The sequence below is a fragment of the Homo sapiens genome, chromosome 7 (genome assembly GCF_000001405.40).
Source record: "Homo sapiens chromosome 7, GRCh38.p14 Primary Assembly".
Classification (NCBI taxonomy): Eukaryota; Metazoa; Chordata; class Mammalia; order Primates; family Hominidae; genus Homo; species Homo sapiens.
Window position 1 is genome coordinate 136,267,352 of NC_000007.14, and position 19,143 is coordinate 136,286,494.

The following is a 19,143-nucleotide window of genomic DNA, read 5'->3' on the forward strand; positions in this document are numbered from 1 at the left end:
TGAGATTGCACCACTGCACTCCAGCCTGGCAACAGAGCTAGACTCCCTCTCAACAACAACAACAACAAAAAAAAAAAAAAAAAAAAAAAGAGGAATGAATAGAATCACAGGTTCAAGGAATAACATTAGGAAACCAACTTTAAAGTCATTAGTTTGTGGGTTCCAGTCTCGCTCTGCCAGTTTCTGGCTCTGCTTGTTAATATGTAAAATAGTAAAATGGGATTAATAACAGTAGGTGCCTCATAGAGAGGTTGCGAGAATTAAGTATTTCATATACTTAGTTAATTAGTCAGTGTTAATTGACATTTTTTTTTGTCATTGATGATAGCCTGATCAACAGAAGTTAGGCTTGAAGTTAGAAATGTTAGAAGTTAAAAGAAATGAAGATTATTCCTTCATCTTTTTCTACATTGATTGACTTATTGAAAAATTGTTACCATTTTTTGAGCACCTATTTGATTTTAGGGAGAATCCTTCAAAACAGAAGACACTGTTAAGAAGTGTAGAATCTGGAAGCTTAGAGAATACAGCTACTTTAAATCCTTTTTTGAAGTGAGACATAGACAATTTAAATATCAATTGGATAATCCATCAATAGATTAAAATTTCAGAGTGTTAGAGCTAAAAAAAGTACTTCACAGATCATTCACTCAAACCCTTTCATTTTCCAGATGCCCAAGCTGAGTTGCATCATTCATTCATTCATTCATTCATCCTTCATTCATTTACAATGTTTATTGAGTGCCACCTGTTTGTCAGATATGGTTACCTGACAGGTAGTTCCTGAGACACAGCAGTGAACAGAACGGAACTGATCCATGCTCTTTTGTAGCTTACGTTCTAGTGGAGAAGGCAGACAACAAACAAATAAAATAGCAGTGGTAACATGTCCTAAGACAAAAATGAAACAAGGTGAGAGTAAAGAGGGGAAGCAGGCATATGTGTTAGTGCTTTGTGGGTATGCGTGCTGTATTAGTCTGTTCTCACACTGCTAATAAAGACATACCTGAGACTGGGTAATTTATGAAGGAAAGAGGTTTAATTGACTCACAGTTCCACATGGCTGGGGAGGCCTCACAATCATGGTGGAAGGTGAAGGAGGAGCAAAGTCATGTCTTACATGGCAGCAGGCAAAGAGAGCATGTGCAGGGGAACTCCCCTTTATAAAACCATCAGATCTCATGAGACTTATTCACTGTCATGAAAACAGCATGGGAAAAATCCACCTCCATGATTCAATTATCTCCCACTAGGTCCCTCCCATGACACCTGAGAATTATGGGAGCTACAATTCAAGATGAGATTTGGGTGAGGACACAGAGCCAAAACATATTATGTGCATATGCTGTTTTTAAAGAATGTTCAGGGGAGGCCTCTTTGATCAGGGGATATTTAAGTAGGCACTTAAAGGATCTGAGTGCCAGATTTGCTTGTCCTGGAGCAAAGTAGCACTTTAAAGAAGATGCCTGTTCAGATGACTTGCCCAACCCTCTCCAGGATAAATTCACAAGAGATTTCGATATGAAGTGAGACAACAGAAGGACTATATCAGAGGAAAGGTGACACAAGTGCACTTTTGGCTATGGGTCATGATGGCTCTCAGAAGGTTACAGGAATCCTTTGTTGGAAACCCGGCAGGAAGTGAGGTAGAGTTAGGGCAGGGAGCAAAAAGATTAAAATGTGTGTCTTTATGTGGGCTTTTGATGCATATGAGCATGAGTTGATGTGAGGATATCTGAAACTGCTTTATCTACTGCAGAAATATTGTCATGAAACTTAAAGGAAAATTAAAGGAAAACAGGTGTAGGTTCTAGAGTATATTCTCACTGAGGCAGTAGCATAAAAATTTAAAAATCCCTGACAGCAGAACTGATAGATTGTTAGAAGGTTTAAGTTGGAATGTGAGAGAGGGCCCCCAGCCCTCATTCTTCATATTCTCTTTGTGGGGGTTAACTGTCAACAAGAGAGCAATTTCAAAGACAAGCTGAGAATGAGGGTGTGTTGGTGTCATGCCACCAACATGAAGGTCATGAATGTAAATAAGGTAATAAAAATATCAATGGAATGGTGCACTGTTGACAGGGAGTGTTCCAAAAACCAAACCAAACAAAAAACACATGGGATATTTGGAAGATCAACTCTTTAGACAGAAAATTCTATTAGCAATTCTATGGGGAACAACTCCCTGTAGGTGAAATGTCTTAGAAGCAACAAATTCTTTTTGTTCATGGTTGAATAAAATGAGATAATAATGCAATAATCTCCTAATTGAGAGAATATCCTGGAGATATCAACCATACCTAGAATGACCAGGAGAGGGTAGAAGACTTGATTGGGCTTGCCTAATTAAATATCTGGTTTGTTTCAAGAGGAAGAGTGAATTCACAAGACTAACTGTAACTTCAGGAAAAGTCTTAAAGAGTCCAGTGGAAACAGTTCTTAACCATAGAGTTTTAATGACAGAGCCTGCCTTTAAAATTTGTTTTTGCATATTCTTTATGAATGACAAAAGCATAATACCCTATCAAAGATGCCTAAGATTTTTTAAGTGTGTTCTTATCTATAAATAGATGAAAAATGGAACTTGAAAGTATTTGGGAAAAAATGGACACATGTTAATATTAGACTGTAGGTATAGGATATTTTCATATAGGTGTGCCCTTTTAGGATCTTCCTGAGAAGGAAGATACCAAGCTGAAAGTCCCTATCATTTAATTAATTAAGTGATGCTACAATGCTTGCGAGTTCACAGGAACTGGGCTGTGGATGCCTCTTGTCTAATTCAAAGTGGTAAAGCTTATATATATTAGAAATAATCTTCTACTGCAGCCATTTCATCATTCCCTCCCACTTTCATTCTCTTATTACTGATACGGTTTGGCTGTGTCCCCACCCACATCTCATCTTGAATTATAGTTCCCATAATACTCACGTGTAGTGGGAGGGACCCCGTGGGAGGTAATTGAATCATAGGAGCGGTTACCTCCATGCTGCTGTTCTCATTATAGTGAGTTACCGCGAGATCTGTTGGCTTTATAAGGGGCTTTTCCCTGTTTGCTCAGCAGTTCTCCTTCCTGCCATCCTGTGAAGAAGGATGTGTTTGCTTTCCCTTACACCATGATTGTAAGTTTTCTGAGGCCTCCGTAGCCATGTGGAGCTGTGAGTCAATTAAACTTCTTTACTTTATAAATTACCCAGACTTGGGCAGTTCTTTATAGCAACATGAGAATGGACTAATACAATCACAATGCCAGGGACTCTATCAGGGCCAGTGTGCCACTGTGATCTTTGCCCTTAAATGGAAAATGTTTATTGTCAGATGTCTCCTCTTCCCTCCCTTTCAACAATTAATGCCACTGACCTCAACGATGGCCTAGGGTACAGAACATTCTTCAGAATCGATGCTTCCCTTGATTTCCTCACCTCATATTTAGCACTTGAGTTCTCTAGCATAAATCAGAAGTATGACAAATTGTGGAAATCCTATATATCATCTAGAAGAAAGGAGAAATAGTTGAAGACAAAATGTAGTCGTTATCAGTAGGTATTCATCAATTACTATATATATTGAATCTACAATAGCCACTGATTTTTAAGTGGTGTCATCATTTTATGTAAAACTAAAGGCAATGCTTCCTCATTACACCAAGACGCAATGTTTCTTACATCTTATAATTTTTATTTCACATTATTAAGAGACTATTTTAGACTTAGATTTTTCTTTTATCATTTATCATCTTTGTGCATGTATGCATCTTTGTGCATCTTCACTGTGTGCAAGTGAAATAAATTGTCTGTTATTGCAGGAAGATGTGGAATTATAATCATTCCTCCCATGAAGAATATTTGCTTCACTGTTATTAGATTTATACTGTATTGCTCAGTATCCTTGCCTTTCTTCTTGTCTATCACATTTTATTTAATGCCGAGTAACAGTGCAAAATTTTAAGGAACACAATGAGACTCATCATTTGTAGCACAAGCAGTGCAAATAACTAAAGTGACAACCGTATGAAGATCTATGACCAAGTTTGCACACGTGCAGGCAATTACAACTTCCTCACAACTGCTACCTGGGTGGCAATGTTTTAAGACACCATCAGTTAGAGAATGTATTTCAATTTCAGAAATATTTAAGATGTGGAGAAAATGGACATCCAGTTTTTAACAAAATATGGTAATTACAGAAATATAAGGTAACAAAGACCTGTAATACTTTCTAATGCTGTGGGACAATAGGGAAGAAATGTCGGTCAGAGAATAGCTGACTTTGACTTTAATCTCCTGATGAATATATCCCTAATTTCAAATGAACCCTGGCACAAAAGAGATGCTCAGTACCAACCTCTTCAGGTAATGAATGAGAAGCTAAGGTTGACTTTCTTCTCTGACGGAGAAGTTAAGTTTTCTTAAAAAAATCATAGCTGATTCATAATAACATAAGTTAATTTTGACAAAAGAAAGATCACCAATGACCTCACAATCCTAATAGGATTACTTTTATTTTTTTATATTCATCTTAGTGTTCATCTATGTAAGTTTTTAGTGTTTCTAGTTGTAATCATAATGAATATAACATTTTTATACATTTACACTGAATATTATATCATAACAGTATAATTATAATTTTATGGCTGTGTAATATTCCATTGAATTATACACAGTAATTTATTTAAAGATTCATTGTTATTATACATGTAAATTACTTCTGATGCTTTGCTATTTTAGTTAAAGCTATAAATAACATTATCGTGCATTTAGTTTTCCCTTCTGTTAAATTATATTCCTAGGAAACATTCCCAGGAGTGGAATTTTTGGTGATGGGGAATGATACATTTTTATGGCTCTTGGTATAAATTGCCATAAAAACAGGTTCTAATAAAATTCAGTGGCAATTTCTCCTTAAAGATTCTGAAGGACAGGGGACTATTAGCCACTTTATAATACTGCTTCATTTTCTAGGATGTATATGTCATTGGAGGCATGGCTTAAGAAGAGAGGAAAAAACAAATTGCTGTCGCTTGGTTACTACAGCGCTCCCCAATTTTCGTACAGCCTGGGTGCTGCAGTTCAGCTCTTTGCTCTGCTTTCTAGCTTTCTCAGCAATTTTGCAACTGAACATAAGGCTCTAAGGGGCTCTGAGTTAAGGGATATCGGTCATTACTAGGTAGAACATGGAACAAAATTCTTTCTAAGTTTTTCAGAACTGGATAGTAAAAGGTAAGATTTGGTTAAGCAGGGTGGTTTGGTTACAATATAATTTGCAGAGTCGCTCTATGGAATTACTCCCATTTACAGGGTGAAAATGATGATGCCTATTTTGCTAGATTCAAGATAACTTATATAGTCACAGTCTTTGAAAAACAACATCTATGACCACCAAATATAGACTACGGCTAAAAGTTAAGGGCCTGAGAAGGCTATATATGAATTTAGGACAGAAGTATATGCCTCTTAGGAATGTATGCCATTTTAGAATAAAAAAAAAATCCTTTAGGTCATGTCCAGGTTTCTACCATATCCTCCTTATAGCACAAAGAATGTCAGTAACTGAGATAACAGAGATATTTATTTGTCTCCCATGATACTGAAGGAAAAATTTAAGCAGGCATTACAATTCACACAAGTCTTATACAGGCTGTGTTCTTCATATAGGAGGGTTACTTTGTTGACCTATCTGTTAACCTATCCTAAGTAAAGCCCTTCTTTGTTTTCCATTAAAAAGTTTAGTTTTATCCATGTTATCTCTGTCCTCACAGTTACAAAGGACTTAAGCATCTTTTTGAGAAAAGGCATGCGTAAGTAACTTTTTAAGAAAAGGGTCAGGGATGCCATCTGTGGCTATGGGAAAGCAAAACAAAACAGAATTATCTCCAGAGAATGTCACAATGGTTATCAGAACACACAAACTGCTGTTTGCAAACCTGTGTTAGGATCGCCATGATACTAAATCTCAAAGAAAGTCTCTATACACATGTGATATTATGATACCAAAGAGCTCAAATAGGAAGTTTGAGTTCAGATTTTCGATCATTTGGTTTTTGTAGCATTTATTATAGAAATTAGTAAATTATCTCTAGTATTTTCATTAAACATTTGGTGCTGTCAGTGCTGTTAACCATGGAAACACATTTGTGTTGTAGTAATCAGGACTTGTTCAGGTGCAAGTGACAGAAACACAACACAAACAAATGAGAAGGGCACTTTGTGGCTCATCTTACAGGGCAGTCTGGATAGTTTTGGCACAACTTGATCCAGGGGCTTGAAAAATGTGATCATATTTCTATTTTAATCTCCATTTCATGGTTCTGTACTTTTTGTCTTTTTCATGCAGGTTCTAGCCATTTGTTAGGAGAGATGGGCTCTGGTAGCCCAAAGTATGCACTTACTGTTTGTGAACCCACCAAAAGAGAGAGTTCCTGTCTCTGTCAGCACCAAAGCTCAAGATAGACTTTAATTGACCATGTTGGTGTTAGATGCCCATCCTTGAAAAAATTACTTAAGAAAATGATATCCTCTCATTGGTGAAACCTGAATTATCCTTCATCCCTTTGGCAGGTGGGGCCAGGCATCAAGACTGACTGTGGATTTTAAGAGGGGTGGTGCTGCAGGAGAGAAGGGTGCTCCTACTAGAAGAGGAGGAAGAGATTCTGAGCAAACCCAACAAGCAGTCATGACAGTGGCAGTTCTAAATGCCTACAAGATCCACTAAACATTGGTTACATTTGAGAAGGTCTTTCCCAGTATTTTTCCTTTTCTTTTGTATTTGCTTTCCATAATCTTCTATGTAATCTGACATTTAAGTGCATGTGTTTAGAAGACTGCATCAACTGTGTACTGTTTCTTGTGCATAAATAGATATGAGCTTTAAATCAAAGGAGGTAAAATCTATTATCTCTTTCTAGTATTTGGAATTATTTCCTAGTTTTTCTAATAGCCTTGATTATTGGGCTTTGATGTAATGGGATTCACATCTTTACAAAACTTCTTTCTATAACTTTGTGGTTGGTATTCAGTGGTCTCAACACCTGAAAGAATAATGGTTTTCTTTTCTTGAAATAATAATGTTTTTCTTTTCTCAACTCAACTTCTGCTCTGTATACCAACATAATTAACAGACAGATAAACCAAGTGCTCCGACTTCAAGGGTTTTCTCTTGAGGAAGATTTAGATGCTATATGAACCCTTTAATGTACTTATGCTTAAATGTGGATGCATTAGACCAAGTGACTCCTTTCTAAATTTCTCCTAAGGAGTCATGATCTTGTAGCCTTCCAAGTAGCAAGTTTTCCCATTAGAATGAACTTCTCTGTTCTTTCAGTAGTATATTTTATATTTCCTTACTAAATCTTGATTACAGGACTTATTAGCCTTGTGTAAGCAACTGTAAGTTTCTTTATTCTAGCAACTGGCTAATGATATGTAGAAAGAAGTCCACCCTCTGAAGTTAATGACTTCTAAATACTCAGCATACAGAGTCCCTCCAGACTTACTCTAGTTTTCCTGTGATCATGCTGAGGATTTGGACTAAAGCATCATTATTCTATAACCCAAGGAAAACATTTGATATGTCTTGGGAATAACTGTCTGATCTGTGGATATACAGGAAACACTCCAGTTTTTCTACATATGTTACCTAAATAATCTTCCTTCCTTCCTTCCCTCCTTCCTTCCTTCCTTCCTTCCTTCCTTCCTTCCTTTCTTTCACTTTCTTTCTTTTTCTTTCTCACTTTCTTTCCTTTCTCTCTTTCTTTCTTTTTCTTTCATTCTTGCTTGCATTCTTGCTTGCTTGCTTTCTCACTTTCTTTCTCTTTTTCTCTTATTTTCTATTTTTCTCTTCTTTCTCTTTTCTTCTTTCTATACTCTTTCTTCCTTTCTCTTTTTCTCTTCTCTTTCTTTCTTCTCTCTCTTTCTCTCTTCTTCTTTCTATACTCTTTATTTCCCTCCCTCCCTCCCTCGCTCCCTCTCTCCCTCCCTCCCTTCCTTCCCTCCTTCCTTCCCTCCTTCCTTCCTTCCTTCCTTCCTTCCTTCCTTCCTTCCTTCCTTCTTCTTTCCTTCCTTTCCCTTCCTCCTTTCTTTCACTGAATTAATGAACAACCCACAAACTGAACGGGTTTAAATGTAAATGGGTTCAAAATGAGAACTAATCAATGTCTGAAAAAAATAGCTTTACATTTCATTGCCTAAGATAAATAATGCTTCATGTCAAGGAGTAGGAGACTTTCCACAGTTCATAAAGCAGTGATATTTATGTAAAATTTATTTTTAAAATAAACTAATTTTAAAAATGTAGATTTTCAGAAACATCTTAAAGGGGCTGGCTGTAGAAAAAAATAATTGGCCAATGTTTTCCATTAAGATGAAAGTCTCAGGAGAGGGATGGACTAAAAAAAGATTTCTTTTTAATTTGGAGGATGTTTCTTTTTTCAAAAACATAATGAATCAGCCAATCCCAAATTCTGTCTGAACTGGAATGAAAAGGACTAAAGAGGATAAAGTGGAGGCTGACTAGTCTCTTGCTTAACTCTTTCACAACTGCTCCTTTCCAGGGAGCAACTTGTTTTTCCTGGGTCTTTAAGTCTACTTGGTGGGCTGGGCTGAGAGCTCGTTGATGAGACACTTCATGTCTGCCATCTACTTCTTATTCCTCAGAGGGGTTGTGCACATGTGGTTTTGTTTATCCTCTCAATTATCACTCACGGCTCAGTTATTTCCACTCTGGATCATGCCTTAGACACACACACACACACACACACGCACACACATACACACACACTGACTCTCTCACTTTAAACCTATTTCTTAGTTTTTTCAAAGGTATCTCTCATCTTTTTACTCTACCACCACCTTATTCTTATTGCATTTACGAGCTAGTGGATGAGAGTCATCATGGAAGAGAAAGGTGAGAATAGTTTTGGCTGTATACACACATCAAGAACAAAGTAAATCGTAAGTTCTGAAATGAAATAAGACATGAAAAAGTGCTATCATCTCCTAAGACTTTCTATTCTAGATATTCTCAATCTAATGTTATTTGCCCTTGTATTAAACCTAGTATTCATCAAGCAACATTTGAGATAAGTAAAAACAGTCTTGCATCAATTGCATTTTTAAAATCTCTGCATTATGAAAGTTTGTTTTATTTGTATGCATTTGGTTCATTCAAAATATAACAAGGGGGTAAAGCAGATTTGCAGAGGAAAATTAGCAAAAGCATTAACCGACAGCTGATTTATAAAAGCAGGCTTATTTTAATTAAAAAGTATGTAAGGTAAGTCACTTAAATTGTGTTTACTTAATAAATTGTTTTCAGTCTCTATTATGATGGTTTAATAATTACACATGTCATATATTTTTAATGAACAAACATGAAATGCTGATTATGTTTCTTATTATTTGGAGAAGTAGAATATTAAAAATTAAAGCCTTTCTTGCAACAACCACTTTAAGTAAAAAGCTCTGACTGATGCCTGTGAAATTACTCAGATTAAGATTCAGCTCACATAAGAAAACGCCACAGGTAGCACATTCTTTCTTCTGCTTTTCCTTTTTTGAGGTAAATAACAAGATGGAAAAAAAGTGAAAGCTGATGAAAAGCTCAACTTCTTCCTGAAATTATTGTTCATTCACCATATTCAGTTATGTATGGGAAATATGCCGGGTGCAGTGGCTCACAACTGTAATCCCAGCACTTTGGGAGGCTGAGGTGGGAGGATTACCTGAGGTCAGGAGTTCACGACCAGCCTGGCCAACATGGCAAAACCCCATCTGTACTAAAAATACAAAAATTAGCTGGGTATGGTGGCTTGTGCCTGTAATCCCAGCTACTGAGGAGGCTGAAGTAGGAGAATGGCTTGAACCTGGGAGGCGGAGATTGCACTGAGCCAAGATCACACCACTGCACTCCAGCCTGGGTGACAGAGTGAGATTCCATCTCAACTACAACAAATAACAAAAGAAATAAATTGTATTGGTGCTGGCGGTAGTGTTGAAGTAGACAGAGACAGTCCCAGCCCTCAGAAGCTCACAGCTTATAAAGGAAAGTAGGTCTGGAGTAAGTGATGGTGAGTGTTGTAAAGGTATTATCATGAGAGTCACTAATATGGGATATATAACTCAGCTGGGAGTGGGAAAGAGCTCAAGGGAAGTTGAATAAATGCTAGTTAGGTTCAGGGAGGGGTAGACAGAACATTCCTAGGGAAGGTTATAGGGGCCTCAGGCAGGCAGGAGAATTTGAGGATAGAATAGTTTATTATGACTGGAGTATGGAGACTTGGGGGTGAGGGGAGGGCTGGTGGCAAGCATTTAAGTCAGTAAGGTAAGCAAGCTGGCCCTCAAGGTCACATCAAGAATTTTCAGCTGTGACTTCTAACCCAAAGGGAAGCAATTGAAAGGTTCTTCAGCATCAGGGAACTTTGAATAAGAGACAAGAAAAACCATCTCTTTCAAATACCTCTCTAAAGCGGCATACAACAGGAATCCATTTTGAAAGGTGAGCTGTCACAGTCAAAATCTTTAATAAGTAGTAATGTAAATTATCTTCTGAGATAGGACTCCTTCCTTACTCATTAAATTTACACTACAGGTCACTTAACAATTGGTCTCTAAGAACATGAATAAAATAACTTTGCCATCTACACAAAGAAATGAGCTTCTGGAATTGGACAATTTTGGGTATTAGATCTGAGTTGAAACAGATAATTGCAGTGTTTTCCCCACTTCTGGGACCTTTCAATATTCTTGCATGAAAGAATTTTCTGAGAGCAGCCATATTTATATGTTTGCTTTCATCAATAACCCCAGCCATTTGGCCGCCCACATGTGTCAGCATACACGTATCCTTGGCATTAATATGCTTGTATAAACAGAAGCATAAAGAAGCTCATTGTTAATATCTGCTCAGGAACAGAAAACTAATGATTTATGATTATGTCTATGACATCAGCTATGCTAGAGGCTATTGCAGTATTGCTATGGGAACTTTTGATAACTTGTTTTGAGTTTCCTGCAGAATGCACAACTATTTTAAAAATGACCTGTGAATAGAGGACAAAACTTTATTTTAAACCTTCTCTGACATGATACTCAGCAAAAATTTTAAAGCAGTTTCTGATTAAAAAATAACCATGTCATTACTTTAGAAACCACTCATTCAAACAACAATTTATTGGGCACCTTATTTGTGACGCAGTTTACGTATATACATTTTAATCTCCCAACAAGCCTGAAAATTAGATATTTTGGGTATCTTCACTTTATTAGTCAAACTCAGGATCAGAGAGGTAAATTTGCCCTAGGATACAAAGCTAATAAGTACTGGAAATGTGATTTAAACTCAGACTGGCTCTTGCAAGAGAATGTGCTATTTCCCCTACCATGCATTGCCTCCAAAGGGCTTATTTAATATTTATTAAGTGACTTACGTGGGCTAGTTGTTTTGTGGATCATGAAGCTGTGCCATAGGTCATGAAAAAAATGAAGGGGAGTTGTAAATTATTAAGACATTTGCTTTGAGGAAGTATTTGCTATCCTGGAGCAGGATCTATTGTAGCTCAACTGGGTGAGCAAAAGACAGTCATGGGGTAGTGGACTTTTAATTCCATTTCATAGTCTCTGGCAGAAAAGAGGAATCTTCATTCTTGTTTATTTGCTTAACACTTGTCTGAAAACAATTATACCTAATGAGGAGGATTAATGAAAGTTCAATGTGCTTCTTCAGGTTTCATTTAAATATGATTGATGGTTAATATGGAACAGTGATAAATGTATACAATTTTTCCTGAACATTTAATTTTTTAAAAAGAAACACTAGCACTTCTCAAATTATATTTGGCTGAAGATTCGTAGTTTGTTAGATGTTAATAAGCGATCTGCGAAAGAAAACGAACTCATGGTGAAATACATTTTGGAAATTCTTGGCAATACACTGTCAAAGTTTATTTTTATCACTAGATTTCTTAGGACATTTAATAGGTAAATTATAATTACTGATTCCCAGGTACCACACTGAACCCACTAAATCAGAGTTTCTGGGGATAGTACCCAGACATCAGTACTTTTTTTTTTCTTTTTCCTTCTTTTTTTTTTTTTTTTTTTTTGAGACGGAGTTTTGCTCTTGTTGCCTAGGCTGGAGTGTAGTGATCTCGACTCACTACAACCTCTGCCTCCTGGGTTCAAGCGATTTTCCTGCCTCAGCCTCCCTAGTGGCTGGGATTACAGGCGCCCACCACCACACCTGGCTAATTTTGTATTTTTAGTAGACACGGGGTTTCACCATGTTGGCCAGGCTAGTCTTCAACTCCTGACCTCAGGTGATCCGCCCGCCAGGCATCAGTACTTTTTAAAAGTTCTCCAGGTGATTCAGGCATGCAGATACATTGTTGTTATGAAACATTTTTCTTAGTGCATAAGTGCATAGTATATATGCTCAGTCTAGAGGCCAGCTGTTTTTCATATCGTCCCCACCCCTATTTGTTGCAATAGAGAAAAAAAATGATGATAAATGACACAAGGTAGGGAGGCTTTTGTAGTTTGTCACATATTTATTTCCTTATTCAATAAAAGTCAATTTTGATCAGATATTCTGTGAATCACTTAACAGATGAAACTATAAGTGGAAAGGAATTGACCTGAAAATAAGCCGAATCCCACCCTGTATCTTCTGATTTCTGTCCACAATGCTTCCTGGCTTTTCTAGAAGGAGCAGCTGGGATCGCCTTCCTAACACGGTGCCCTCTGCTATTGGCCCCCTCTGTCACCTGGGGCACCCACTGCTGCAGCCCTGCTGAGAGCTAAAGGCTGAATTTCACCTTTCATCTTTTACTTTAGTTCCATAGTTGTGGCAGAGGCTTCAGGTCCTGTTAAGCAGATTCTTGTTCTTTTTTATTCTGTTCTATATGTCTGAAAATTTGTGAGATGAGTTTATTAAAGATTAAAGTTGACTGTATGACTGCTTTTCTTTTCTTTCTTTTTCTTTTTCTTGAGATGGAGTCTTGCTCTGTCGCCCAGGCTGAAGTGCAGTGGCGCGATCTCGGCTCACTGCAAGTTCCACCTCAGCCTCCCAATTAGCGGAGACTACAGGCGCCCGCCACAACGCCTGGCTAATTTTTTTTGTATTTTCAGTAGAGACGGGGTTTCATGGTGTTAGCCAGGATGGTCTCGATCTCCTGACCTCGTGATTCGCCCGCCTCCACCTCCCAAAGTGTTGGGATTACAGGCGTGAGCCACCATGCCCGGCATGACTGCTCTTCTTAATACCTTCTACGGAGCCCATTGGCTCCCACGTTCAGACAGATCCAGGAGGGAAGCTGTCCCATCCCTGTGCACGCTCATCTCTCCGGCATGTCTTACTGCTGGTGTTTCAGGCCTTTCAGCTTCAGATGGACTTCCCTGCCAGCTGTTCCACGAGCACCACGCTTTCCTTGTAAGCATTCCTTGCGTATCTTCTGGTTAATTCTTATTTGACATGACCTTCAAAACTTAGCTCATAAACTGCCTTTCGTATCAATGCCTCCTTTCTCACTCACCTACTCACCTGGGTTAGTATCCCAGTGGTATCACAATGGTACTTAACAACATATTCCCCTCCACCTGGGTTATAGACTCCCTGAGGGCAGCGTTTGTGTCTTGTTTCCCTGTTCCAACTGAATGTCTTGAATATAAAAATATGCTTAACTGATGTTTATGAGTAAATGAAAAAGCTCTCTTCACTTGCTCTTCCATGCAATGAACACACCTGCTCACACATTCACATCTTTACCTCCTTTTTGAACCATTTCCCTTCTTTTCTAAACCACCTTTTCTATTCATCAGTTGTGGCTCTTGTTGTACCTCCTCAATATTGACATTATATTAATTTTGACTTTATAATTTATTTTTACTTTACACTGTGGAGTTTATGAAAATATTACATGTGTTTTATATCCCCAAGTGGATGGTAAACTTTTCAAGCTTACCTGTATTCTCTCACTTCCAACTTCAAATACATATTGAATGCCTGTACACTTCTGATAATGTAACACAGGTGTATATGTTAGTTTTATTGAGTTCATCTTCTGTATGTTTTCTCTCTTTGTGCCCTCATTTATGGTTCCAGCAATTAACTTTCTGCTTGTAGATATCTTCATTCTTTATTTTAATAAATTAGTTTCTTATTTTCACATATATTTACTAAGCACCTCTTCTAGGTGCTGGGAATATAGCGATAAACAAAACAGACAAAAATTCCTGCTCTGATTAGTGTAAGCTGAAAATAAACAAGATAAACAGATTATACAGTGCTACATGATAATAAAGGTAATGATGAAAAAATATATATCATAGGGCCAAGTGTGGTGGCTCATGCCTATAATCCCAGCACTTTGGGAGGCCGAAGCGGGAGGATCAACTGAGTTCAGGGGTTTGAGACCAGCCTGGTCAACATGACAAAACCCTGTCTTTACTAAAAATACAAAATTTAGCTGGGTGTGGTGGCGCATGCCTGTAATCTCAGCTACTCAGGAGGCTGAAGTAGGAGAATCGCTTGAACCCAGGAGGTGGAGGTTGCAGTGAGCCAAGATTGCACCACTGCACTCCAGCCTGGGAGACAGAGTGAGACTCCATCTCAAAAAACAAAACAAAACAAACATATACATAAAATGGAAGGAGCATAGAGAATGATGGGAAGGTTGCAGTTTGAAATAGGAAGTCCTTGCTGATAATGTGACCTTGGTATGAGCCATATAGATATCAGCAGGAGTAAAGTTCACAGGAGAAAAGTGGTAGAAGTTGGAAAGGAAACGGGGGCAGGCAGACACTATGGGGTCTTAGAGGTCATGATAAAAAATTTGCCTTTTTATCAGAACATTTATTAGGCAGCCACTGTGGAACCAATGGCATTCTCAGTGCTTTGGGGCATACAGAGATGAATCAGGCTGACTCTGCTTTCAGGGAGATAGGACTCTATTAGCGTGGGTAAAACCCTACCACCCAGTTCCGGAAAGAAGCATCTCAGATCTCAAGTACTGAAGCTAAGTCTTGATTCACATGCACCATTGGGGGAGTGTAACCTGATACAACTTTTTTCTTCCTTAGAGTGCAACCTAGCCAAATATATAAAAACTTTAGATATATATGCTTTTTTGACTCAGAAGTTGCACATCTATGTTCCCCCCTCCCCGAGGAATAAGTATGCAAGGATGTATAAGCCAGTATGTTTATAATGCATTGTTTTTAATAGAGATACATTAAATATTCAGAAATGGACTTTCTGCAAATGAAAGTCATGCATCACAAATGAATTGTGATGCATCCGATTAATGAAATACTTTGTAGCTATTCAAAATGATGATGTAGCTATTCAAAATGATGATAATCACTTTACTGATACAGAAAAGTGATCATGATATGTAGCCAAGTGGAATAAAGTTATAAAACAGCAAGCAAAGGAGGAATCCATTTTTATAACATTTTTAAAGTGTGTGATTTATGTGTCATGGAAATCTACATGAGTATAAGTCAAGGTGTTAACAGTACTAATAAACACATAATATATGCATAATTGGGGTGATTTTTACTTCCTTCATTATACCTCCCTGTTAGGTCTGATTACATTCATGGGCATACATTTCTGTTGTCATCAGAAAATTATTATTTTCAGCTTTTTAAAAAGAAAGAGAAATGCTTAATTCATGGCAACACTTGTAGTCAGCATGGGGGCTTGATTTTCCCCTGATTGCCCTGATGGTACAAAGTAGACTTCTGGGTCTCTGCATAAACGGCCTTACTTCTCTTTTAATCAACCTACTTTTGCGTGTGTGTGTCTGCACAATTAGAAAAGACCTAAGGACACATGCCTCTGACCCTCACTGTCTTCCACCATCTTCTAAATTGCTTTTGACATCAGTTGCTTCAAAGTGAAAATGAAAAATGGAAATACCACAAAATGGAAGCTGTATCAGCAGAACCCGCATAACTGATTAATTGGCTTATATGTGGTGTACCTAGTTTGGGAGTTTTTGGTCTTTGATTGGAAAATGCTTCTGGATTTCCAAGGACACTTATTACTCATGGTTGTTACTTTTTGAATATTACTGGTGCCTATTCAGGATTTGATTGAAGAGTTTTAGAAATGGATTTGTCCTGCCCCTTGCCTGTCCCTTATATAGTCCTGACTCAGCCAGGCAGAAAAAAATTAATAGAGTTCTGAAAGCACTGAATGAAAGCTATAGTTTCCAGCCAATCCCCTCAGGGGTCTAGAGATGCCTGGGCTGTGGTTTGGAGACATTAATTCTGCTTGCTTTGACTTTGCCAATTGTGTTTTATTTCTTTTTTTCTCTGTCACTGGGCACTTTATTGTAGAATTTTGTATATAAAGAAAATGCTCAGCATGTATTGCAGTTTTCCGCACGTGCTTAGGTAGCAAATGCTGACAAAAAGCACTCAGTATATTTCCAAAACGGGTCTCATCAATGGCACTTTTTTTTTTTGGTTATGGATTTCCTAGCTCTCTGATAGGCTGAACCTTTGATTTAGGATTTCAAAAAGAATTTAATCATGAAAGAAAGTTCTGTGTGCCGGGTGAATCCTCTTGAAAGCAATTGCCTTTTATATCTCTGGCTTCTTAATTGCTGCTTCACTCTGCTCTGCTGTTTTATTCTCTTTTATGTTTGGATCAACATGTAAATAACTGAGGATGATGGCTGACTTTACTTAAGGCAGACATAATGAAAAGGTAGAAATGAAATCCAGGCTCAATGGAGGAGAGAGTATGCCATTGGGAGAACTAAAGAGATACCGTGCTGATTAATCTATCAGAGGATAGCTTTTAATGCCTAAGTTTTTGCATCAGAAATAAGGGACAATTTCGGCTGGGCGCAGTGGCTCACACCTGTAATCCCAGCTCTTCGGGAAGCTGAGGCAGGTGGATCCCGAGGTCAGGAGATCAAGACCATCCTGGCCAACATGGTGAAACCTTGTCTCCACTAAAAATACAAAAAAATTAGCTGGGCGTGGTGGTGCACACCTGTAGTCCCAGCTACTCAGGAGGTTGAGGCAGGAGAATCGTTTGAACCTGGGAGGCGGAGGTTGCAGTGAGTCGAGATCGCACCACTGCATTCCAGCCTGGGACAGTGCAAGACTCCGTCTCAAAAAAAAAAAAAAAAAAAAAACTAAGAAATTGGGGACAATTTCATATTAGTTTTCTGCCAAGTGAGTTTCAAGGAACAGTAGTCTTATGAGGTGTTCTAGGGCAAGTGTTCTAGGTTAGAGGTGCTTGGGAAGTGCTATCCACTATTGGCTACCCTTAGTGATTTATGGCATATATTAGTGCTGAGAAAACTTGCCATAAAGTTTTGTTGTGTTAAATATGTCATTTTCCTAACTTTTTAAAGAAGAATTACTTATTATAGTTTTTGTTCCTTTCTTCCTTTTGGGAAATTGAAAAGATTAATGAATTCTCTATAATTAAAATACAAAGATATATACACTGGAGCTCAAAGTTAGGGTGAAAAATTAAGAGATTAAGGGGTCTTTTACTTTATTTCTAATTTCATGACTCTTTAACTTAAAAAAGGTATGCAAAGCAAATAAGAAAAATTGTCAACACTTGTTACTTTTAATAAGAGATTATGGGTTATGATTCTATGTAGTGTAGTTTTTCTATGAAAAAGGTAGATGTTTTTTGTATATAAGACATTGCAATAATAACCATTCATCTGTTCATTTATTCAACAAATGTTTATTGAGAACTTAAAATATGCTATACATCATTTTTGGCACTTGTGATATACCAGTAAATAAAGAGATAAAGATCCCTGTCTTTGAGGTAAGAGAGTAAGAATAAATATTTATGAATTGTGAAGGTTTGCTTCTAATAATGTCTGAGTAACCTTTTTCTGACCCTTCTGTAGATAACAACTATAAATTCTAGACGAAACCAAAACAAAATGAAAAACTGGCCAAAGGTGCTAGAGAGCAACACAACGCAGGCAGATTTTGGAGGGGAGTCAACACTTAGGAGAAGGGAAAGACAGTAAATTAGTTCCATTTTCAAGGTTTATATATTGAATGAAGGCCCCAGTTTGTCCAATATAGATGTAGGATAATAAAACTGTGATAGAAAATCTGAATTATTTTTGGTCTGAAGAATCAAAGAACAAAGTTCTAGAAAATACAGCTTCTGGAAAGTGATGAAACCAGAGAGAAGGAGGCTAACTGTTGTCCATAAAGGCATCTCAACTCTCTGCCTAAACCCAGAAACATGAATATCTGGGCAGATTCCAAGGAGCCTACTTGAGGATTAGATTAAAGCAGGCAATTAAGACTGGATGCGGTGGCTCATGCCTCTAATCCCAGCACTTTGGGAGGCTGAGGCAGGTGGATCACTTGAGGTCAAGAGTTTAGACCAGCCTGGCCAACATGGTGAAACCCTGTCTCTACTAAAAATATAAAAAATAGCCAGGCGTGGTGGCACATGCCTGCAATCCCAGCTACCAGGGAGGCTGAGGCATGAGAATCGCTTGAACCTAGGAGGCGGAGGTTGCAGTGAGCTGAGATTCTGCCATTGCACTCCAGCCTGGGCCTGAATGAGAGAGTGAGACCCTGCTTCAAAAGCAAATAGACAAAAAGACAACAACAACAACAAAACAAAAAAAACTTGCCAACAAAGAAAGAGTTTAATGTTTTTGTGGCATATTATGCTAATTATCTACTAACATAAACAAACTCAACAACAAAAACACTCTTTGAGGAATAAGACAGAATCCAGCAAACTACAATGTAAAATTACTTAACATAGAAAAATTAGAAAAATTTGATTTATTCTCAAAAGAAAAGAAAGTAAATGAAGACCAACTTCAAGATTAACCAAATGTTGGAATTAGCAAGCAACAGTTTTAAAGTAGGTACTATGATGCTCCAGGACAAAGATAGGCTCATAACAAATTTTAAAAAGTAAATTGGAGCAGATAAGTAAAGAGAAAAGCAAAGAATGAAATGAAAATGCTAGAACTCAAAAGTTCAATATTTAAATTAAAACAATTTACCTGAATGGGCTTAACCTAAAAAAAAGGTGGTGACAGGATAAAGAGTCAATGAACTTGAGGACAGATTAATAGAAATTATTGAATCTAAAGAACAGAAAAAATATTTTAAAAAATTAACAGA

The 19,143-nt window shown here is 37.6% G+C and overlaps 1 long non-coding RNA gene across 7 annotated transcripts in view, besides 1 other annotated feature; it reads left to right on the forward strand.

Moving 5' to 3' along the window:
- Positions 1 to 19,143, forward strand: part of LOC105375523 (uncharacterized) — a 459,019-nt gene that overhangs the window by 286,405 nt on the left and 153,471 nt on the right. The window lies entirely within an intron of this gene.
- Positions 5,736 to 5,936: a silencer, noted in NCBI's record as "peak6757 fragment used in MPRA reporter construct". NCBI's record gives its function as "represses an SCP1 promoter by STARR-seq MPRAs in K562 erythroleukemia cells {active_cell/tissue: K562}" and the evidence as "EXISTENCE:reporter gene assay evidence [ECO:0000049][PMID:32103011]".